Source organism: Homo sapiens, chromosome 8, assembly GCF_000001405.40.
Source record: "Homo sapiens chromosome 8, GRCh38.p14 Primary Assembly".
Taxonomy (NCBI): domain Eukaryota; kingdom Metazoa; phylum Chordata; class Mammalia; order Primates; family Hominidae; genus Homo; species Homo sapiens.
The window spans coordinates 27,404,077-27,428,751 of record NC_000008.11 but is presented as its reverse complement, the minus strand read 5'-3'; the positions used below and the strand labels follow the sequence as shown (position 1 = coordinate 27,428,751).

At 44.9% G+C, this 24,675-nt stretch overlaps 1 protein-coding gene across 43 annotated transcripts in view, besides 2 other annotated features; it reads right to left on the bottom strand.

Annotated features, from left to right (window-relative positions):
- Nucleotides 1–24,675, bottom strand: part of PTK2B (protein tyrosine kinase 2 beta) — a 148,886-nt gene that overhangs the window by 30,640 nt on the left and 93,571 nt on the right. For all 43 annotated transcript variants that reach the window (XM_047421544.1, XM_047421545.1, XM_047421552.1 and 40 more), the window contains 3 exons: nt 8,679–8,857; nt 8,008–8,095; nt 6,369–6,448 (listed from right to left, as the gene is read on the bottom strand). In XM_047421544.1, the coding sequence (XP_047277500.1) occupies nt 6,369–6,448; nt 8,008–8,095; nt 8,679–8,857 (347 nt within the window). The remainder of the gene's footprint in view (nt 1–6,368; nt 6,449–8,007; nt 8,096–8,678; nt 8,858–24,675) is intronic.
- Nucleotides 2,246–2,540: an enhancer, noted in NCBI's record as "tiled region #13363; K562 Activating DNase matched - State 12:CtcfO". NCBI's record gives its function as "activates a minimal TATA promoter and a strong SV40 promoter by Sharpr-MPRA in K562 cells {active_cell/tissue: K562}" and the evidence as "EXISTENCE:reporter gene assay evidence [ECO:0000049][PMID:27701403]".
- Nucleotides 2,246–2,540: a silencer, noted in NCBI's record as "tiled region #13363; HepG2 Repressive DNase unmatched - State 12:CtcfO". NCBI's record gives its function as "represses a minimal TATA promoter and a strong SV40 promoter by Sharpr-MPRA in HepG2 cells {active_cell/tissue: HepG2}" and the evidence as "EXISTENCE:reporter gene assay evidence [ECO:0000049][PMID:27701403]".

Sequence of the window (24,675 nt, the reverse complement as noted above, 5' to 3'; positions counted from 1 at the left end):
CCTGAAACACTGGGCAATGTCTGGAGATAGTTTTGGTTATCACAGCTAGTTGGAGTAGGGGGTTGGTGGTGCTACCAGCATCAAGTGGGTAGAGACCAGGGATACTGCTAAACATCCTTCAATGCACAGGAAGTCCACCCCCAATCCTCCCTAACAAAGAAGTATCCAGCCCCAAATGTCAGCAGTAGTGAGGCTAGAAAACCCTGGGAATTTGATCCAAGAAGAGAACTTAGAACACTAAGAAGATGGGTTCTTCCCTACCCTTACTTCTCTGTACTGAGTGTCTGACAGAGGGAGGTAAGCAATGGTGCCTGAGATGGGATGTTCTTGCTAAGGGCAGATGTGCGGTATTGGAAACCAGAAGACTGGCAGATAGGAATGATATTCAGGTGTAGCAAAGGTCCCCAACCCCTGGACCATGGACCGGTCCTGGCCTGTTAGGAAGCTGGCCACAGAGCAGGATGTGAGCAGTGGGTGAGTGACTGAAGTTTCATCTGTATTTACAGCTGTCTCCCATCACTTGCTATATTGCCTGAGCTCCATCTCCTGTCAGATCAGTGGTGACATTAGATTCTCATAGGAGTGTGAACCATGTATGTGAGGGATCTAGGTTTCACGCTCCTTATGAGAATCTAATGCTTGATGATCAGTCACTGTCTCCTATCACATCCAGATGGACTGTCTAGTTGCAGGAAAACAAGCTTAGGGCTTCCACTGATTCTACATTATGGTGAGTTGTATATTTATTTTATTATATATTATAATGTAATAATAATAGAAATAAAGTACACAATAAATGTAATGTGCTTGAATCATCCTGAAACCATCCCCCACCCCAACCAGGGTGCATGGAAAAATTGTCTTCCACGAAACTGGTCCCTGGTGCCCAAAAGGTTGGGGGCCTCTGAGGTATAGGACATGAGAAGCCTACCCAGGATTCTCCCCTGGATGGAAGCTCCTCCTCCTCTTCCTCCTCCCACCTGAAGAGTGCCTGCAGTTAAGATCCCAAAATTCCATGCGACTGACCACGGCAGCTTCAGAAAACATGTCAAGCCAGTGTTACCTGCTCAGCCTCCACATTAATAAGACACCTCTGGGTGATTATAGGCAGCTTGGTCATCTACAGTTCCCCTGGGTTGAGTGAGCCATAAAATATACTCCTAGGTAACTGAACACATTGGCTTGCTGTACACAACTATTTAATTCTAACAGAATAAATGTTGGCAAAGGTCCACTGAGGAAGAAGATTTCAGTTCTTTCAGTTATCCATTTATTCAACTGTGTATTGAGCTCTGATGTGCCAGGCAAAGGCAGCACCCATTCTGACTCTAAGGATTTGACAGATTTTCACAATCTGGTGCACGGGGACATGTCCTTGCCTCACAGAGCTGTGTGCAAGTACAGTGGTTTTGCAAAGGGGGCTGGAGGGATTCAGGATGGGGCAGAAAAGGCTTCAAGATGAAGAGACCCTTAGGCTGGCTTGATGGGAAGAGCAGATGGTCACACTGCTTGTAATTGACACCTCATAGGCTCACGCTGAGGTTTCCTATGTATGTAGAGGACAAGCAGGTAACACGGGCTCAGTATGTTTTCTAAAGGTGCCAGAAGATAGAAGAGTTTACTACGCTGAAAAGGGAAATGAGAAGACTGTGCCAAGCAGGAGGATGCATCACCCACCCACGGGGTGAGATCTGCTTCCCAGCCACGACGGAGAGTGGTCTCCTAAAGCCACTCCAGGCTTATGATCTGTTGTTGAATGAATAAATGAACTTCGAGACTTGTGAAGAAAGAATTTGGAAGACTGGGATATTTAAATATTAAATTTTTTAAAACAGGGTTAGCTAAATGAAAGGGTAAACACATTTTGAAATTAACACTGAACAATTAAGTCACATAAAAAATAAGAGCATTTTAGCATGATCAAGGTGGTAGTGAATGGAAAAATGTTTTATTAGGGTAAAGGAAGCTCAGCTAGCACATCAAGGTCACCCCAATCTCCTGAATCCAGCTTGCTTAGGCCACTCCCTGTGTCCCAAATGGCCCTTCTCTCAGGCATCGAAGATCATTTATATAGTCACCATTGACAAAACTGTCCAATCACTCAGATGTGCCACAATCTGGGTGTTTCTAACATTTGGAGCAACTGAACATCTTGGGAATGTCTTGGAGCAACTGAACATCTTGGGAATGTCTGGGAGAACTAGTAACCATCACTCAAGGGAGACGCTGCTCTCCCCAGTAAGGTAGCTTCCCAATTTTCTGTGTTGAGTCCCATCTCAGCTGCTCTCCAGGGGCACCCACGTCTCCCAAATATGCCTGGACCGCCAACACTGAGTGAGGCTGTGCCTACCTGGAGTGCCCTCTAGTGCCTGACTGGTCCTTCCAGCTCAAGCCTGCAATTTTGAGTAGCTAACACCAGGTGGACAGCGGTGGAGTCTATAATCAGATACAAGCCTATGACTGATACCCAGGTAAGGACAGCAGAAAATAAGGAAATAACTAAACCAAATCCAGTTGGTTACTTTTTTCTTCTAAACATCAATAGAAATTAACTACAAACCAAGATGCCTTTTGAAGCAAAGCAAGCTGTGTGTCGTTTCTCTAATCTTTATTTATTAACAGTTACTTAGCTAATCTGGGGTTACGTATTCTCTGTTTTGTTGTAGTTGTTGTTGCTGTTGTTTTAGGGCTCTGCTGGGGGTGGACAATGGTCCTAGGTGTCTCAGATCAAGGGGGAGAAGTTATTTGGTTCCTCAAACTGGGCAGGTACTGATTTCTAGCATAGAGGCCCTGAATTTCAAACTTTCATTTAGAGGCATTATTTAGATCAAACATTTGGCATTTATAAAGCACCTCCAATAAATGAATAAAATTAACTAGGTATCATTCCAACTATATGAGATTCTGGAAAAGGCAAAACTATGGCAACAATAAAGTGATCAATGGTTGCCAGGGTTAGAGGGAAGGAGGGATGGATAGGTGGAGTATGGACAAATTTTAGGGCAGTGAAACTACTCTGCGTAATGCTATAATGGTAGATATAGGTCATTATTCATTTAGCCAAACCCATAGAACATACAATACCAAGAGTGAACCCTAATGTAAACTACAGGTTTTAGGTAATAATGATGTGTCAATGTAGGCTCATCAATTGTAACAAATGCACCACTTTGGTGGGGAATTCTGGTGGAGAATGTTGATAGTGGGGGAGGCTGTGCATGTGTGGGGAAGGGGGTATATAGGAACTCTGTACCTTCTGCTCAATTTTGCTGAGAATCTAAAACTTCTCTAAAAAATAAAGTCTATTCAAAATAAACAAACAAAAGAAGGGTAAAGAGAAAAAAGTAAGTAAAATATAATAAATAATTATTGAATACTTTGGTCCCTGTCGTTGCTCTAAGTACTTTAAATATATTAACTCATTTATTCTTTGTAACAACCCTGCAAGGTTTGTTACGTTACTATTGTATAGCATGCAATACCATATAATACTATACAATAGTATACTATAGTATACTATGCAATACTATACAATAGTAACATAACATACATATTATATACTAGCATATATATGTTATATAGTAGCATATGTTATATAGTAGCATATATATGTTATATACTAACAGATATATGTTATATAGTATAACAAATGTTATATAGAAACATAACGTGTTTTATAGTAACACAACGTGACTATAATGTTACTATTATCATTCCTATTTTACAGATGAAGGAATCTGGGCAGAGAGCGGGTAATCGACTTGCCCAGAGTAACACAGGAAACACATGACTCCATGGAGGATTCATTTCACTAATCTCATATCTCAGGCATACATCATACCTCTTTTTTAAGCTAGGAAATGATACAATTTTTTTTTTTCCTGGAGATGTTGTATATCTATAGGCAGGTGACCTAATCAATGATGTTAATAGGACAAGGGGTTATTGCCCATGATTTGTAGGTAGCCCCACACTCTGGGACATTTTTAGGCAAGAGCCACAGCCCTAGAAAATTCTGCCTTATGGCCTAATTTTCCGAAGTGTGTCCAATTCTCTTTGGGTGAGAAATAGTTGTAACTTGACTTTAAAATGGCTCATCATAACAAATAACTGCATTCAACTTTAAAAATTATTAGACCTGCAAATCTTCTATTTGGTTTACAAAATAGGTGTTTTCCATATCCTCTCCCTGATATCATACACCCGGCATTTCAGTGGTCAACCAGTAAGAATAGGAACATCTCTCTGACTCTGTTCCTCACACTCAGGAGATGTGAAACAATACATCTCTTGCACAAAACAAGTGTGGCTTTTAGAATATCATCCTGCATTGGTTATAGCAGATATCAGCAGTTACACTCTTGACAAGACTACCTACAGGAGTCATGTCGGATGCCTTGCCCTGTCCTCCAATACATTAGTGCAGTGCCTGGAGCTTAGGCCACCACCAGTAATAGTTTGGGGATGATTGGAGGATATAATAAAATAAAATAGAATGTTAATGGGTCTTTGTGGTGCTGTTTTACAACTAAGTGATGACTGCTTGACAGGTGACAAGTGATAGGTGTCTCAAAGTGATGCTAGCATCCCAGGTATGAGATCCATAAATAAAAAGGTAAAGATAAGCTTTTTCGACTTGTCTAATTTTAGAGGGGAAGATGAGACAGTACAGGATGTAATGCAAGTCATAGGAGCCGAGCAGTCTGAGAAGGGATGAAAGGCACAGATAATAAAATAAACTTTGCAGACTGCCCCTGGTCTGCCAGCACTGAGCTATCATGATTATTACTAATGGCAGTGAGCTGGGCTGCCTTCTAAGCAGCTGCAGGGACCACAGGCCTCCTCTGTACAGAGGACTCGAATGCTCCCTTGCTTCTTGAGACAAAGTCACGAAATGTGAAGCCCTCGAAGCTGCCCTTGACCTATTCTGTCGCTAATACCAAAAGCCTCAGATGCTGAAATCAAAGTGGGACTCTCCCTTTCCCATCCTACTGGCCCCACCGGAGGACTCCCCAGCATTCTCTCTGACTGAGAATCACAATGGGGCCAGAATTCCCCAGTGCCCCTCAGCTGGCTCCGTAGAAGCAGCAGCAGAGTTCTACTCTCTATTAACCATGAGGTCACAGATAAGGCTCCGGAAATGCAGTTCTAGAAAACAGGAAGTAATCCTTGGCCAACGATTTCCTTGGCAGTCATCCTGAAAGTCATCCCATCAACCCATATATCTAATGGCATTCAAGTCACCTGGGGGGCTGGTCAAAAACGCCTAGGATAAGGTCCCACCCAGGCCTGCCAAATCAAATCTCCCAAGGGTAGGGCCAGGACGTCTCCAGTTTATTAAGCTCCCAGGTGATTATGATTTGCAAGCAGATGTTAAAACCACTGCTCTAAGACAGAGAAGGGGTAGAGAGAAGGGAAGGAGAGGGTGAAAAGGCAGGGGATGGTGAAACTCAATGGTGCTGCCCTGGTCAAGACAGGGCTAGAACACAGGTCAGCCATATCACCCTCCTCAGTCCTGAATGGCAATGACCCCCTGGCAGCTAAGAATAAGGCCTATTTTTTTAGACTGTCATTCTAATTATGTCATTCTAACAATGTCATTCTAATGATATCATTGGACTGCCATTGTCTCAATGGTGTCTTCCACCATCAGCCCCAACTTATCCCTCCAAGCTCACGATTCTCCAGTCTATGCTTTTCCTTCCACTGATCCCTGAGCCTGGAGTGTATCTCCCCTGACCCCTGTTCTCTGCTGATTGAAATCTTTCTCCTCCTTCCAGTGGCAATTCAGATACCCTCTTGCTGATGCTCTCAGGCAGGATGAATGGCTCCTACATGGAAGTTGGTGCCATCCTCATTCTGCCTCGTATTATGATTAATTGTATACACATCTGTCACCTCCCCAACATGGAAGTGTGAGGGCCTCTCTGGATGATGTACTAATATCACACATATTGATCAAGTGCCTACTGGAGATGGGGATACAGCAATGGGCAACACAGATAGACATCTCTAGGCTCGAATGTCCCCCAGATTCTAGTCTGGTGCTCAAGAAACATCTGATGAATCGCTTGAACAGCAGCAAAGGTGGTTGACAGATGGAAGAAGCCAGCAGCCTGCAGGCAAGAGCAGTGGCAGCAATGGAAGCCAGGAGAGTGAGACTAGGGAGGGGGCTGGCCCATCTACCCCTGCCATCCTGAAGACCCAACACCCAGCCCCTCAGAGCCTCACCTGCTGCCGGTCACCACCTCTCCCCTTCCTGGCTCCCACACACTCATTCCTGCTTCCCATCTTGGACATGGGGAAAGGTCGGGCCTGCCCAGAGCTCAGCACAGCGCCCTCCCAGCAGAGGCCTCAGGGCCACATACCTGAGCTCCAGGCAGCCCAGCTGCAGGGCCATGCCCTCGCTGACCTTGCTGGCGTAGCGCTGCATGTAGTCGTTCCGGAGCTGGTGGGGAGAAAGGTCAAGCATCAGGCTTGCACCCTCACCTCCCACTTCCCTGCACAGAGGCCTCAGAAGATTAAGGGCCTCATTCTGCCTCCCTGAGTGACAGCCACCCACCCCACCACAAACAAGCATGGAGCAGGGATGGAGAGCACGAGGGGAAAGGGTGCTTGTGCCTCCACAGGCCGAGCCTGTGAGGTTTTCGAGGTGCTTTTACAGGCATTCTCTCCCTGCTCCACAGGCAGGAAGTTCAGATTCCCCTCCCCTGCCCCCCATTTTGGATAGAAGAAAACTGAGATTTTGCAAGAAGTCAGTAATTTATCCAAAGCTCTGTTGGTAAGTAGTGATAAATGTCATTCACAGGCCAAGAAAAGTCTAGCTCAGTCTCTGGCAAACCAGGAGGGAGATCTTGGAAGGAACTAATATCAGACAGAAAACAGCAATGGCCACTCCTGCTGATGCTGCGCTTTGCTCTGCACCTGGTGCTGGGCTTGGCACTCCATACGCATTCTGTCCAGGAAGTTTGAGATGCTCAAAATAGCTGCTGAGAGCTGGTTATTAAGTTTTCAGAAGTTTTGTAAGCCAAGTAGGTATCCTATTAGTAGCTTGAAATAGGCTGAGGAGGGGGGTGGTATTTACACCATAGAAATTGGCAAGGGCCATAAAAATGAATGAAATAATGGCATTTACAGCAACCTGGATGGAGTTGGAGACCATTATTCTAAGTGAATTAACTCCAGAATGGAAAACCAACATTGTATGTTCTCACTCATAAGGGGGAGCTAACCATGATGATGCAAAGGCATAAGAATGACTTTGGAGACTCTGGGGAAAGAGTGGGAAGGGGTGAGTGATAAAAGACTACACATTGGGTACAGTGCACACTGCTTGGGTGATGGGTGCACCAACATCTCAGAAATCACCATTAAAGAAATTATTCATGTAACCAACACCACCTGTTCCCCCAAAAAACCCATTGAAATAAATAAATAAATAAATAAATAAATAAATAAATAAATAAATAAATAGGTAAGTGCTACGTGTAAGGGAATTTTTCTTTGGAGAGTCAATTTAGCAGCCAATGATATCATCTGGTCCCTACAACAACCCTATAAAGTAGGTATTATTATTATGATTCCCATAATAATTTTACAGCAGAGGAAACAGCTTCATGCAAGTAAATGAGGTCCCCCAGGCTATCAGATTAGTGAATGGCAGAGCTAGATTAGTGGACAACAGTCTGCAGAGCTGTGTAGTAAGCACTGCAGGATTCATCTTGGACCTGCTCTTGCTGTTTCACTAGCCAGGTCTCCTGGGCCACCAGAAAAGTCCAAGAGGAGCTGGGAGCACATGGGGCAGTTTAGCCAGTGCTTAAATACTGAGAGAAAAGCAGGGTTGGAGCCGCGGACCATAGACCAAGGACCTTCTTCAAGAGAAGCTTCCTAGCCTGGGCCCTCCATAATCTGGGCTTTGTCTTTCCATCTCCCTAGGAGAGAACGGTTCATGCTTGGCATTTGAGGTGTAATGGGAGCCTCGGGGCAAGAAGATAAAGTACTTTTTACCTGTTGGTAAAAATAGAGCAGCGTGGTCCTGTCCTCCTTCAGGCTCTCCATGAAGTCTTCTGGCAAGTAGCGGATTTGAAGGTCATACCTGCAACAAGACATTCAGGCTCTGGTTGACACAGAGAAGCTGGTGCCTGAAGAAAGGAGTAGGACCCCAAGGGCAGAAGCAAGCCCATCCCCTAGTGCAAAGGGAAGGGCTGCCCATGAGTCTCGTGGCCACTCATTCAGGGCTGGTTTTTCTCTTTCCCTCCTCTGCGGTTGGGCTGGAGACCATCAACAGGGAGGTGGCTGGCAGGTGGTGGTCTGAGCTATCCCTGACTCTCCACCTTTCTCCCTCATGGCAGCTGTTTCTCTTAGGTTCACAGGCTAGCCCTGGACCTGGGCTTTCCATCCTCCCCACCCTTCTGTCTCTCTTTTCCCCTAGCACTGTCAGCATCCCGTTTAGGGTTACCTTTAGGTGTTGGCTCTGGGATGGGGATAGTCTATGAAGCCCAGGTTAGGTCCTGGAAAATACATGCATTGGATACTGGAGGAAGACTAAGCCTAGAATGCCACTCAGGTTTGCTAGAAGTTTCTGAGGCAGGGGAGTGCTCTAAGGGAGAAACTCCCAGGGCCTCCCCACCCTAAATTCCTCTCCTTCCCACTTCCAGAGCCCAGGAATCCACTCCTACCTCCACTCGGCTTCCACGTGCAGACACTCATACTTGTCCTGCACCTCACCCACCGTCATCTGTGGGTGCAGCCAGTGGATCTCATCGGACTTCATGTGCTTCAGCCTCAGCCCATAGCACTCAGCCAACCGGATGTTGGGCCCGATCCGCCCGCTCAGCAGGATGGAGGTGATGATCTCCTGCAGAGGAGAAGAGAGAGGCATGACTCAGGGGTGCCCACCTTTGGGCTCCCATAATTCTCACACAGACCTGAAAAGTGGGATTCTCTAGGGTGGGATTCTGTCTTCATGTTCGATTTGTCTCTGATTCTCTAGCATTTAGGGGAAGATTTGTACACAATGGGCTCTATCTGATAAATTGACAAATGGGTGAAATGAGGCAGAGACAGAGGAACTGAGAGAGCAGAAGTGAAGGAGAAAATGCAAAGAGGCAGAGAATAACAAAAATTTGCTTCTGCACCTCATTACAATCTAACCAATTAATAATTACGGAACATCCACTATGTGAACAGCAGACCTTCTGAGTGGTTTGCAATTTAGCCAGCATCACTGAGCTCCTGCACCAGGCACTGCTAGGCCCTTTGCAGACATGATTTCATTGAATCCACACAACACAGGGAAGCAGGTGTTACCATCCCGTGTGGCTGATGGAGAAACTAATATATGTCCCACAACCCACGGAATGGAACTGGGATTTGGAATCTTGGGACACTAGACTGAGGATTTCTACTAGGCCAAGCTGATTCATGGAGTGGTGGGGCTGGAAAAGATAAGGACAAGATTCACTTGGAAGGATTAAGTGCCACAATCCCCACATGAGCAAGGACACAAGAAATGAGTGCTGGCAAGAAACCACGTGCCCTCTTGTTCCTGCTTTCTTGTTAACCGGAGGTTAATAGACTGCCTGTCTCCCAGCCTGATGCCACAGCTTCCTGGCCTAGAGCCAGAGATGGATTAACAGGTGGGCCAACCGGGCAGCTGCCTAGAAGTCCATCTGTAAGGCCCTGCCTAGTTCTGAAATCACTTTGGTGCCATTTTTTTTTTCTTGAGATGGAGTCTCGCTCTGTCACCCAGGCTGGAGTGCAGTGATGTGATCTCGGCTCACTGCAACCTCCGCCTCCCAGGTTCAAGCCATTCTCCTGCCTCATCCTCCTGAGTAGCTGGGACTACAGGTAGGCACCACCACGCCTGGATAATTTTTGTATTTTTAGTAGAGATGGGGTTTTATCATGTTGGCCAGGCTGGTCTCAAACTCCTGACCTCAAGTGATCTGCCTGCCTCGGCCTCCCAAAGTGCTGGGATTACAGGCGTGAGCCACCGCGCCCGGACTTTGGTGCCATTTTAACTTAGGTTTCTCATGTAGTTCCACATATTGTTGGTGAATTGAGCTCACTCCTGACAGAGCAGAGTGTCCTCTGGGATATAAATTTAAAAACCCGAAGGCACCGACGTATCTCTGTTGGATATGTCTGCAATGTGCGTGCCATCAAGCCTACATCAGCCTAAAGACCAAATAATGCATAATAGGTTGCTGTCAAACCAAAAAGAGGAGGGGCATTTGATTATTTAGATTTTACATTTTCTTAACATGCCTCCCAAGACAGTTTCTAATTTAGTCAATCAACTGTAATCAGTTCCTTAATTGGAATGAAAAGAAGGAGGCATATTATTTTTCTCAGAAGTAAATAAATTTCTTTCTCTCTCCACTAGGAAAATGTCATGCTAATATTTAGATAATCCTGGTTTGAAGGAATGCCCAGTTATTTGCTTGCCTGGGCACCCATCTGTCTCGGGCTAACTGCCTCTTGCTAGCCCTTCTGGACTCCAGGGAGTTGTGAAACTAGAAGACCCTCAGCCTGAAAAATCCCTTCCCCATTAGGAAAGAAAATGCCCGTCACAGAGGGTGACGACTGCTCTGTGAGATAGATGGGGAAACAGAGGCACAGAATGCACTTGTGAGCAGTTGTAACAACCAGTGCAGGAATCAGAACTGAGGCCCTGGAGGGGATGAAGACTGGGATCAGTGGCACTCCTACAGTGAGAGGGACATCTGGTTGGGGGAGGAGTGCAAGCCCGTGAAGTTAACCATTTTGTCATCCTCTCTACCCATTTCTCCTGTCCCTGACCTTCTGCCCTGCTCTGTCCACTGTCATCCGGAATAATGCATTACTCAGAGCCCCCACGTCACTCCCAAGTCCCTCCTGGAGCCCCCACCACTGGTGCTTTTGAACTTACAGTCCTCTCCTGCTCCAGCTGAAACCTACTTGGCTAATATCTAATTTCCTCAGGGCTAGAACTCCTGTGCTGTTGATTATCAAAAATCTCAAACATATACAAAGTAAACAGAAGAGTATAATAAACCCCCATGTACGCATCACCCAGCCTCAACAATTACCAACCTTCTGCCTTCTTGCTTCATCAATATCACCACCCACTCCCCAGCTGTGACTCAACTATTATTTTTTTACAGTTCTTCTTTAAATGTAAAATTTCTATACATTAAAATGCATAAATTGAAGCTATACAATTTTGACACATGAATACAACTGTGTAACCCACATACCAATTAAGGTATAGAACTTTCCAGATCCCCAGAAAACTCCCCCATATCCCTTCTCAGTCCACCCTCATGGCCCCACTACCTCCCGCCTCTCCAGTCAACCTTACCCTACCCCCACCACTTTCAATTGGTTTTGCCTGTTCTAGAACTTCGTATAAATGGAATCATTTAGCATACACTTTTTTGGTGTCTTTTTTCACTCAGCATAATGTCTGAGATCCATCATGTTGTTGCATATATCAGAAATTCATTCCTACTTATCAATCGGTAATGTTCTGCTTTGTAAATGAATCACAATATGTTGATTTGGTCTTCTGCTTCCGAACACCTGGACTATTTCTAATTTTTGGCTATTGTGAATTGAACTACTATGAACATCAATGTGCAAGTATTTTTGTGACTATACATTGTGATTTCCTGTGGATAAATGCTGAGAAGAGGAATTACTGGATCAAAGATAGATGTATGTCTGACTTTATGAGCAACTGTCAGGATTATTCCATTTTATATTTCTCCTGTGACATGAGACTTTTGTTACACCACATCTTCACTAACATTTGGTGTTGTCAGTCTTTTTAATATTAGCCATCTCAGTGGGTGCGTAGTGTCTCATTGTGCTTGTAATTTGCATCTCTCTGATGACTAATGATATTGAACATGTTTTCATGTGTTTATAGGCCATTCATATACCTTCCTCTGTAAAGTGGTTGTTTGAATCTTTTCCCCATTTTTTCTGTTGTGTTTTCATTTGCAGGAGAGTTGTAGGAGGCTTTTATACATTCTAGGTAAAAGTATTTTGTATGATGTATTTTATGAATATTTTCTCCAGGTCTGTAGTGTGCCCATTCTGCATTGCCTAATCAATGTCTTCTGACAGAGTCTAACTTGTCAACATTTTCTTTCATGGTTAGCGTTTTCTGTATCCTAAGAAATCTTTGCCTGCCTCCAGGTCATGAAGATATTCTATGTTTTCTTTTATAAACTTCACAGTTTTAATTTTTAGTTTTGTGATCTATTGTGAATTAATTTTTGTATATGGTATTCATTTTCAAAAATATAGATCTACGGTTGTTCAGCATTGGTTGTTGACTTTCCCTTCCCAAATGAATTGCTTTTCTTTGTCAAAAATCATTTGGCCATCTAGGTTTATTTCTGAACTCTCATTTCTTTTCTATTGATCTTTGTCTATACTGTACCAATGTCAACCACACTGTCTGCATTACTGTAGCTTTACATGAGATCTTGAAGTCAAATAGGGTTAAGTCTTCCGCTGTTCCCCATCCCCTAGATTATTGGGCTAGGTCTTTGCATGTCCACATAAATGTTAGAATCAGCTGGCCACTTTCTTTTTAAAAAGTCTGCTGCATTATGAGTGGGACTGTGTTAAATCTATAGCTTAATTGGAGAGAACTGGCATTTTTTTTTAATGTTTAAATTTTTATAGAGTTTGGGTCATGCTATGTTGACCAGGCTGGACTTGAACTCTTGGGCCTCAAGTGATCCTCCTACCTTGGCTTTGCAAAGTGTTGGGATTATAGGCATGAACCACTGCACCTGGCCAGAATTGGCATCTTAACAGCATTGATGCCTGTAATACATGAACATGGCATATCTCTCTATTTATTTAGGTCTTCTTTATTTTCTTTTAGTAATGTTTTATCATTTTCAACATATATATTGTATAGGTCTTTTGTTAAATTTATTTCTAAGTAGTTTATAAATTTGCTTCTATAAATTATTTTTAAAAATTAATGTTTTATTTTGGGGCTTACTCTCTCCATGATTTTCTGCTAATCTTCTTGCTGCTCTGCCAATCTCATATTGTATCCTCTGACACTTTAAGCTAGTAAGGCTGCAGATTTTTGCCCCTGGAGCCCATTCCAGACTGGAAAGTTCTCTCAGGCAAAAAGCCACAAACTTGCAGATCTCATTCATCACAGTTTAGCTCTCAAGAGCAGGTTTCCTTTTAGTTTGTGCTTGCTATGGGCACTCACCAGTGCTTGCAGAGAGTTCCCTTTTATATTTTGTCCAGATTTTATCATTGTTATCTGGAGAAAGATTAGTCTAGCCAAGCTATCCCATCATTTTTGAAATATTTGTGCTATTTTATTAACAAATCTGTGTTCTCTGCAAATGGGAGAGGGTTGGGGAGCAGAGAATACCTTTTAAGTCATGGATAACTGAAATGCAGACTAGCAATAGCCAGGAGTACAAGCCCTGGTGCCAGGCTGCAGCAGTGCCCCATCCACCCACCACCACCACCCAGCTGGATATGCTTGGGTACATACTAAACTTCTCTGGATTTGGTTTTCTCATCTAGAATATGGACAAAATAATAGTACCAATTTGGAATGCTTTTATGAGGATTAAATTAGATAAAACTCCATAGAACGGTGCTTGGCCCAAGGTAAATACTAAAAAACAAACAAACAAAAAAACAGCCCCCCAAACAACAAAATATTAGCCTTATTTTGACACAGCAATCTCCTTCGCAGACTGGTGCTCTGTAAACCAGACTGGGAAAACAAAGCAAAATTCATTCTATTTTTCTCTTTCTCTACCTTTCTATCTTCTTTTCTTTTTCCTTCCTTTGGAGGTGGTGGCAAGGTCAGGGGTCAAAGGAGTTGGGCCAAGAGAGATGGTTGGAGTGATTAGGAGATTGTAACCAAACAGGGAGTGAGCAAAGAACCAAACAGGGGGAGTGAGCAAAGAAGTAACCAAAGGGGGGAGTGAGCAAAGAAGTAAATGTATTGAGGATAATGGGAAACTCTTATGGAGATGGGGAGCCTAGAGAGTCTAGCCAACCTATCTCATCATTTTTGAAATCTTTGGAGGTGAAGGATTGGAATTGGAAGTGCAGGTGTGACTCATGGTTTTATAGATAGAAAGAGATACACACACACACACAGAGAGAGAGAGAGAGAAACTGAGCTTCATTTATGGAAAGGACTTAGAAGCAGTGACAGCCCGGCCAGGCGCGGTGGCTCATGCCTGTAATCCCAACACTTTGGGAGGCTGAGGCGGGCGGATCACGAGGTCAGAAGATCAAGACCATCCTGATTAACATGGTGAAACCCCGTCTCTACTAAAAAATACAAAAAAATTAGCCGGGTGTGGTGGTGGATGCCTGTAGTCCCAGCTACTTGGGAGGCTGAGGCAGGAGAATGGTGTGAACCCAGGAGGTGGAGCTTGCAGTGAGCAGAGATTGCGCCACTGAACTCCAGCCTGGGCAACAGAGTGAGACTGTCTCAAAAAAAAAAAGAAGAAGCAGTGACAGCCGATAGTGATTGCACACCCCAGCACCAAGTTGCAGTTTTCAAATATCCTTCTCCACTTAAAGAATCCAAAGCTCCTTGCAGAAATGGCTGATTCCAGGGCTAGGGGGAAAAGTACAAGATGTGCCTGGAACGTTATTTTGTGCCATATAAAAACAAAGTGTTGAGAGAACATTGGGGACACATAACCACAAATCAGGATTAGCCTGAAGGAACTCACATCGGCCACATCTAGGATTACTTAAGTATTAAAATATATGATAGGAATGAGTTACATCCTGCCAAATAAAATAGAATCTAAGACAGATAAATAATTGGGGAAGAAGAAAATACTCTTCCTTGTGTAGAATGCCAAGAAATAAATGTAGAAGAAAGGATGGAAATAGAAAGTCACCATTTGGCAACAAACTCAGTGTTGGTTGATTCAGGCAGGATTCATCAATGGGTGATGAAGCTAGAGGGTGGAGGTTTGATGATGAATAGGATATTGACATGGTCTCAGGGCATTCAGCCTCAGAATGTACTAAACAAATGCACAAAAAAATCTGGCAGACACAAACAACCGATCATCATGGTTTACGTCCCTAGTGGTGCAGCAGGTAAGCACAGCGGGCTTCCTGTCTCGATGCACCAAGAAGAGAGCAGCAAGGTTGCTGAGATCTTCCTGCCATGAGTCTGTGGCCTGATCTAGTCATGAGACCAGAGACCCAGGATGAAGAGCCTCCTCAGGGACCTATAGAACAAAAGGCCTGTACTCTTTTGGATTTAGGAACTCTCCCAGATTGGAGGAGACTAAAGGGATATGACAGCTAAGTGCAATGTGTGCTCCTGGATCAGACAGGAAAAACAGACACTGCTGGGACAGTTGGTAAAATCTGGATGGCGTCTATGGTGTGGAAGGTAGTGTTATAGCAACGCTGACTTCCTGATTTAGATGCATGCAGCACATCTTCTGTAGGAGAATGTCCCTGTTTGGGGAGATAAACCCTGGAGCATTCCGGTGATGGGGCAGCAATACTACAACTTGCTCTCAAATAGTTCAGAAAAAAGAATAACGATAATGGGCATATTTGTGTATGTGTATGCATGTATGCCTGCTTATGAAGAGACTGAGCTGGCAATACAGAAAACAATAAATTTAAACCATTGAGGATCTGGGAGAAAGCTATATGGGAGTCCTTAGCCTTGTTTTTTTTTTTTCCAACTTTTTAAAAAGTATGAAATAATTTCAAAATAAAAAGAAGAGACTCTGGTGAGGGAGATTCCCAGCCACTTGAGAAGTAAAGGCACCATATCAAGGGGTTGAATAAGATTTGTATCAGGCCAGACACGGCCGTGCACCTTCTCCCCTACCCATAGTCTCTGAGAGGGGTCAGACTAAATCCAGCTAATGATTCTAGTTGGTGAAACTCTCCAGGACTCTGCTTGCACAAAATTTTTTTTTCAGATTTCCTTCTAAGAAGCAACCAATTTCTGTTGTAGACATGGTGGAGGAAAATTTAACTCGAGGTCCTTGGGGTTGAAATTCATTAAGAGACTCTTCACCCAACATATCTTCATAGGAAGATAGATTTCAGCTTCAGGTAAGGAAGACCTTGGGAGCTTTCTAAGCATGAAATGTGCTATTTGGGAGGTGCCTGGTGCTGGGCAGATTCTTACCAGTGGTGCATTCTTTCCTGGGGGGCAAACCTGAAGTTCTTGGGGGACAGGGAGCACCTGCCACCAATGTCACCACTGCTGGTTACTGATGGTGTATCATAAAGAATTTGATGAGTTTTTGTCCTTGGTTCTGCAGAGGGGGTGTTTAAACCCTTGGAATTTCCCAAGAGTTAGGATGGCCTTTGTCCTTCACTGTGGGTTCCTCAGACTACACCTGAATCTATACTAATGAGGTGATTCATGGTGGGTCCCTGCTAGCCTCAGGATGGGGGCTGCAATGCTGGAAAGACCAACCGGGTAATCAGAGAGTTGAAGCTTTGAGCCACATGGTATCAGCCTGACCTCCAGGGAGGGAAGGGGAGCTGGAGATTGAGTCCAATTATGTGGCCAGTGATTCCATCAATCAATCAATCAATCAACGATGCCTGTATAATAAGGCCTAATAAATTCCTGGGCACCAAAGCTCAGGTGAACTTCCTGGTTGGTGATGCACATCTTGTTGGTGTGTCTGGAGGGCAAAGCCTTGTGAGGATATGAAACCTTCCTGTTTGGGGTCCCTCAGACCTGTCCTCTATGTTTCTTCATTTGGCTGGCTCTCATTTATATGATAAAACTGTAAGGATAGCACTTTCCTGCATTCTGTGAGTTGTTTTAGGAAACTGTTGAACCTGCTGGGATAGCAGAAACCCCCAAACTTGTAGCCAATTGGTCAGAAGTGTGAATGGCCTAGGAATCCTGGAGCTTGCAATTGGGGTGTAAGGGGAGGGAGTCTTGTGGAGGATGCACCCTCAGCCTGTGAAGTCTGAGCTAACTCTAGAAGTGCACTGTGACAGGACTGCCTTGCAAAGTGTGCCAATCCTTTAGGCACACAGAAGGTGGGGGAAACAAGGTTTTTGACCATGAGTGACACAGATAGAGCTCTAACTTTGGAGTCATACAAACGAGGGTGAGAACCCAATTTTGACATGTACTTCCAATAGGATGACAAGCTCCCTGAGCCACAGTCCCCTCTCTGCAGCCCTCCAGCCTCATCATGTTAAGCTGCAGAATGGCTTCTTCATTCAAACCATCAGCAACTGTCTATGACATACTCACTATGCAAAACAGAGATAGGGGCTCTCGTGCACACACATAGGCCCTTGCCTCAAGGAGCTCCTTACATTTCATAGGTAGGAGGAAAGGTATGGTGTGAATTCAGGGGGGTGGCCAGATTGGGGTAACAGAAAGGTAAGTGCTGAGATTTGACATGCTCTCACCTGCATTGGCTCTTGCACGAGCCCTGCCTTCCTCAGCCTGAATCCTCTTCTTTATCATTCTAATATGTAAACAGCTTCTCAAGCAAACAGTAGGGGCAGCAAGATCAGCACTCCACCCAGAGCTCCCTGACCGCTACCACTGAGTCAATATTTCTTTCTCTATTAATAAATCACTTTTAAAAAATGACAGTATATAATGATTATCTATTCACTAGATTGCCATATGTGCCATGATTTTTAAAAACTGTCTTAATTTTATCAGTTGCTATTTGGGTAAGCCCAGGACTGTTTTTTGCTACAGGAAGACCTTTGCTTCTTCCCACAGGAGGGCTTCCAGGCTCTCCGACTGCCCATGGCTCACAGCCTGGTTATTAAGAACCTTTGAATGCTTTCTTGCAAACATTAAAATGTCTATAGCTTTTCCTCCTGCTTGGCTAACACTGATTTAGTTGCTTTATCAAATAGCGTAAAGACTTCAAACTACCTTTGCCTCTCTCCCTATTCTCTGGCCTTTCTTCCTATAGGTCAGAAACAAAGAAGCAACAGGACCGGATGGCTTGTCTCTGTGCTCTGGATAATCTACTTCCAAAAAGGAAAAGGTGGTTGAATGAATTAATTACTCAGCTCACTTTCCTTCTCTTTTGTCAGTGCTCATCCATTTATAACTTTCTTCAGTGATCTCTATTGTCTCACTATTTTCTCAGGCTCACCTATTTCTAATAAAATACCTAATCTTTTTGGCTTTTTTCTTAATAAGCTTATTAAACATGTTTGATGTTAGTGGCTGGGTTTTTGAAAACAACATGACAGCTGAGTCCCCCACTGTCCTCCACCAGGATTGCTCTCACTCAAAGAGTGGCCCTTGCCTAAGGTCACACCTTTCCTAGGGGCCATCCATATTGAGTGACTGGTGAACACACATAATACCTATGTCCTTTCATCCTGATTTGGGACAGCTCTTCTGGCTCTAAGGCTCCAGTGGAATGGGCTGAGGCCTTTGCTGTGGCTGCATCGCAGCCCAACTTTTTCCTCTGCCCCATCCTGCTTTCTTCCCTCCCACTAGCTGTGTGCCTTGGGAGCTCCCATCAACACGCTTCCTCCAATGCAAGCCTCCCACCCAGGTCTGCTTCCCAGGAACCCCACCTGGGACAGTGGCTTGCAAACTGCTTCCCAGGCTTAATTCAATTCACCCTCCTTACTCTTTTCAAAGTATTCTTTTTTGTTTGTTTGTTTTAGTAAGATGACTATACTTAACATTTTAATAAATAAACTACACTTAAGCTTTTGTTGAAAAAAAGTCTTAGGCCAGGCATGGTGGCTCACACTTGTAATCCCAGCCCTTTGGGAGGCCGAGGCAGGAGGATCACCTGAGGTCAGGAGTTCGAGACTAGCCTGGCCAACATGGTGAAACCCTGCCTCTACTAAAAATACAAAAATTAGCCTGGCATGGTGGTGCATGCCTATAAAACCCAGCTACTTGGGAGGCTGAGGAAGGCCAATCACTTGAACCCGGAGGCAGAGGTTGCAGTGAGCTGATATCGCACCATTGCACTTCAGCCTGGGCCACAAGAGTAAAACTGTCTCAAAAATAAAAATAAGTCTTGCTTACATTTTATTTAAGAAGGTGTCACTCTGAGGTTGAGGACAAAATCAATGCAGGTGATTTTGGTGGAAAATCTCTCATTGGTTCCTCATTTTCTGTACAATCAGATAAGACCCAAACTAATGAACACAAGGCGTAAATCTCCCTTTGGGTTTTTTTCCCACATGTTCTTTCCAGTCCCATCCCCTCTGTACCCACAATGTGCTCTGTGCCTGGTCTCCAAAGTTGCTCTCTTTCTTCGCCCCCAACACAGCATGCTCTTGCTTTCCTCTGTGCTGAACACATTTAATTCTTCCTGCCTGGGGGACCCCTGGCTCCCCTCTCCCCCTTGTCCTTTCCTCCTGGTGAGCTCCCTGTTATGCTTTAAGGCCCAGAGAGCACTATGAGGGCCCCTGGGAAGCCTTCCCTGACTCCCTGTGATAAGGTTTTTGTTTCTTCCCCTGGATTCCAAAAAACTTTATACATCTATCTAGTAAGATACCATATGGGTTGAATTGTGGTTCCCCAAAAGGATATGTTGAAATCTTAACCTCTAGTGCCTTAGCGCAGGACTTTATAGAGTGTTTACAGACTAATCGAGTTAAAATGAGGTCATTCGGGTGGGCTGTCATCTAAAATGACTGGTGTCCTTAAAAAAGGGGGAAGTGTGAATGCAGAGAGAGACATGCACACGGGGAGATGGTGCAAGATTTGAGTGATGCAGCTGCAGGCCAAGGAGTGTCAAAGACCATTGGCGAATCACCAGCCAGGGAGAGGAAAGGACGGGTTCCCCTATGGACTTCAGAGGGAGCAGGGCCCTGCTGACACCTTGATCTTTAATTTCTAGCCTCCAGAACTGTGATACAATACCTTTCTGTTGTTTCACATCACTCTGTTTGTGGTGCTTTGTTAAAGCAGACCTAGGAGACTAATACAGACATTGACCAGTTAGAGCTAAAACAATGCTCCATGTCTGACCTTGGGTTAGACAGACACAGACAGTTGTTTTACTTTTAATTGGTATACGGTTATGAGAATTTTAATAAATTTTACTACCTATCTGGACAGCGATCCCCCAGTGATATCCCCTGTGGGGGCCAAGGCTTTTGGCTTCCTAAAGGTTCACTGAAAAAAATCACTGAAATGAGGCAGATTGATTAAAGGAGAAAAGGCATACAAATTTACTTAATATGCATACACAGGTACCTTCAGAATGAAGACCCAAAAATAGAGGAGAAATTGTCCATTTTTATGCTTAGGTTTAGCAAACAATGGACAGTCATGTAGAAATATGATTGGAGGAGAAGGGTCTGATCTAATGTTGACAGGCTGAGTGGGGAAACCCAGACAGGCCTGTCTGTCTAGATTCTTCTGGGCCTCTCTGAGCAGTGTTCCTTCCTGCTGGGTGCAGGGCAGGCCCTCTCTGGAATCAAGGCCTTATGACCTATAGTCCAACAATGTAGGTCAGATAATTTCTTTATGGCCTGTTTTTACATGGAATACTTTTAGGTTTTATGGCCGGATTTCTGTGGGGGAAAAGAGGTTCTGGTTTCTATGACCCACCTTGGGGAAGACAATCCTAGTTTCTATGGCACCTCGGGGGAGAGTGGGGCTGAGAGACAGGGGGCAGGAGAAAGTCAGAGAAAAACTTTTGCTTCTGAGGCTGCTGCTGAGGCCTTCATTTGGGGATATTGTTTTCTGAGCCCCAACAGTTCTCTCCCTCAAAGAGATTACAGTAAAGATTTAAATGGATTTCCAGTTATTTTTAGATGGCAGACTAATATATGTTGGAATGTGATGCTGTACTGAGACTGGCTTCAAGGTCAGAACAACTGACTGGCTTTATGTGGGTTACAGACACGTAAGAGCTTAGCACAATGGTAGGTGCAGAGCAGGTGCTCAAAAAATGGTAGCTAGCATTGTGATGGGTAAGGGGGGAAGGATGAACATGGCTCAAGGGTCAAGTCAACCTGAGGAGTTGATTAACCCAAGAAGTCTAGAATTAAGACATGAAGATGTGAGCTGGAAATGGAGTTCGGGGTCCTTGGGCCAGAGGTTCCTCTGACTCCCCTGACTGGGTGGGAACTGGCACCTGGGGAGACCCACCTCCCGGGAGCACCTGTCCAGTAGTGGCTCTAAATTCTTCCAAAGGCTGAGCCCTATAGAGGGGTACAGGTGGTTGAAGGAAGCAATCCCTGAAGAAAGGGATCTGAGGCCCTTTGTGAGCTGGAGCCAGCACCAGCAGCAGGTGGGTGAAGTGCAGTCAAGGAGCCTCATAGGATGATCAGGTCATGACCACGGCTGATCCGGCCATGCCAGTGACTGGGATGAACAATGCAAAGAAAAATGACTTCCTTCTGCTTCAAGCAAGAGAATCATGAAGGGTTTTATGTTCCCAGGGCAAAGAAAAATGACTTCCTCCTGTTTGGAGCAAGAGAATCATGAAGGGTTTTATGTTCCCAGGGCCTGGATAGCAGGCTCTTCCCTTGCACCTTCTGCTGTGTGTGAAGACGGGAAGTAGAGTTCTGAGAAGGCAGAAAAAAGGCTGAAAAGGTTAACAAAAGGCCTTTTCTTTAGAAGGCCCTTTCTTTCCGCTCACTATATTGAGCAGAATATAAGTGTCTCTGAAAAATAAAAATGTTCTGTTAAAAATGAGACCATTCTGTCAAAAATTCTGATTTACCCATAAACCGTATGAAGCGTTCTTGATGCCACGCTGAGATTGAGGAGGGATGAAGAACAATAAAGATCAGTTGGGAGAGTACCAGGTGGCCTTCACAGATTTTTCCCCCCAAAGTCCCCCTACTAAAATATCTTTTAAAGCAGTTACTATACCATTCTTTCCGGTGACATGCAGTGCCTGCCTCAGAGCAGGAGGGGCAGGTGTCGCTTCAACATGACAGGTAAAGTTTTATTTTTCACATGGGGACTGGGTTCAGAGCATTCATGGTACCATAATGCTTCCTAATTCACATCAGTGAATCTCAACAGGGTACCACTGGCACTTGGGGCAGGAGGATTCTTTGTTGTATGGGACTGTTCACCCATGGCAACAGCCCACCCACCAAATGCCAAGCCCCAGCCCCAATCATCGTGAGAACCATGACAATGTGCCAACTATAAAGGGCCCCTACACATTTCCCGCTGCCAACTTCCAGGAGGTGTGGAACGGCTCCTGGGGAGAAGAGCTGACTCACACATTCGGTGAGTCTCTATTTTCTTCTGCACATACCCCAAAATGACATAATTAAAGCTTTTAAATGGACAAAAGGCCCACTCACTGCTGTACATCTGGGTACACTGGTCTGTGTGTGCCTGAATGGAGGTACCAGTGACAGATACTATGATCTGAATTGAAGGTCATAATGGGTTGAATGGTGGCCCCCAAAAGATATGTCCATGTCCTAACCCCAGAATCTGTGAATGTGACCTCATTTGGAAAAAAAAATGGGGGGCTTTGCAAATGTAATTAAGTTAAGGATCTCAAGATGAGATCACTCTGGACTGAGTGGCCCCAAATCCAATGATAAGCATCCTTGTAAAAGATACAGAAAAGAGACACAGAGAGAGGAGAAGTCCACGTGAAGATGGAAGCAGAAGTTGGAGTGAAGTATCCATAAGCTGCGAATGCCTAGAGCTACCAGAAGCTGGGACAGGCAAGGAGAGATCCTCCCCTAGAGCCTTCAGGAGAACTGAGTCCCTGCTGACACCTTGATTTAGGACTTCTGGCCTCCAGAAATGTGAGAGAATCATTTCTATTGTAAGCCACCAGGTTTGTGATAATTTGCAGTGGCAGCCATAGAAAACTGATACACTGGTTATATACCTTCTGAGTTTGCAACACATGTAAGGGATCATTCTAAAATAAGTGATTGAAGAACAAAATAATACAAGTGAGCATAACTTAACACCCTGAAAGCATTCATTTTGACGTGATAAAAGTCTCTAACAAGGACATTCAGCAATGCAACTACCAGATTAAAAATAGAAATGAAAGCCCAGGCACCTGACTGCCAATTTGTGGATGCAATGAATGTGGGCGTGGAGATCCACAAAGGCCCGGAACCTGCGTGTCTACCTTGTGCTGGCCTCTGTAGGTGTCTGTGTGGGGGCGGGCTGGCCTGCAGAGCACACACAGGAAACAGGGAGGGGGTGCAGAAGGTCCTTGTGAATATACCTTTTTAAATACTGCGGCACTGGGTTGTGGTTTCCTGGATGAACCCTTTCCTCTTTTTCAGGGACTATTTTCATGCATGGGAGACCAGCCTTGTGTGCTTCCATTTTATTCTCTCTAGGGTAACTTTTCTTTCAAAAATGGCAACTTACCAGGACAAGTAACCTCCTCCTCCCTACCTCTTGCACTGTGACCTTGGGCCCTACTCTAGCAGCATCTGAAGGAGGGTGACAGAGATTGTTCCAGATACAGAGAACCTGAGCCAATGGCCTGTGTGCCTGAGACTGCTCTTCCAGGCACAGGGAACTGCTGGCCTGTGTCCCGGTCATCTTGAGCTGCTCTAACAAATCACCCTGACTGGGCGCCTTAAACAAGAAGCATTTATTTCTAAACAGCTCTAGAGCTGGGAGTCTAAGATCAAGGTACAGCAGATTTGGCTCCTGGTGTGAGCTTCCTCATTTACAGAAGTACACCTTCTCCTTCTGTCCTCACATGGCTAAGAGAGAGAGAGAGAGAGAGAGAGAGAGAGAGAGGAAGAGAAAGAGAGGAAGGGAGGGAGGGGGAGAGGGAGAGGAATCTAGCCTCTTCCTCTTTTATAAGGACACTAATCCCATTATAGGGCCCCCACTCTCATGACCTCACCTAAGCCCAATTACCTTTCAATACCCCTACCTTCAAACACCATTACACTGGGTGTTAGGGCATCAGCATATGGAATTGGGGGTGAGGGGACATAAATATCCAGTCCATAACACCCTGTGCACCTTGTGTCTGGTTGAGTAACAATAGATTAAACTCAAAGCTAACTGGGATGAGTGTGTGATGGGTTTAAGGAGCGAAGGGGAAAGTCAATGGGTTCTGACATCTGCAGTCTGCCTCTGGGGATTTCTGGAAGGGATTGTATGATCACTGAATGCACACGGGTGGTGGTGAGGACAGGTGTGTGTGGACCAGGCTGCATTTGGAACTGGACAGCCTTCCTCATGCACCAGGCAAGCAATGCCCAAGGCCACCCCTGCAACCTGGAGTCCCTGCTGCGGGTGGGAGGGATGCATCCAGACTGGGTGGGGAGGGCACAGGATGGCTGCAGCCTCTGCCCCTCCTGAGGATGTGAATGTGAATTCTGAGTGGGGTGATGCTTCAGGACAAAACAAGGATGAATCTTGAACCTAGGTTTCCAGCTTGGTAGAAACTGGCTGAGAGAGAGGACTCCATCGGCACCTCTGAACAACACCATACCCCAGATGAATATCTCTGCTTCTGCTCAATGTCTTCCTGGGTGAGAAAAGATGGTCTTGTGATAGGCAGAGATGAGCACATGAAAAGAGTGGGTCAACTGGAGGAAGCTGGAGGGAGAAAACACCATGAGTCAGCCGGTCAGTGTGCCAGGCAGGGAGAGGAGAGAGCAGGGCCTTAGACGAAGGTGACCATGTCATTATTGTGTCATTGTCACCCATATCATGATACATTTGAGACTGGCAGGACAGGGGCA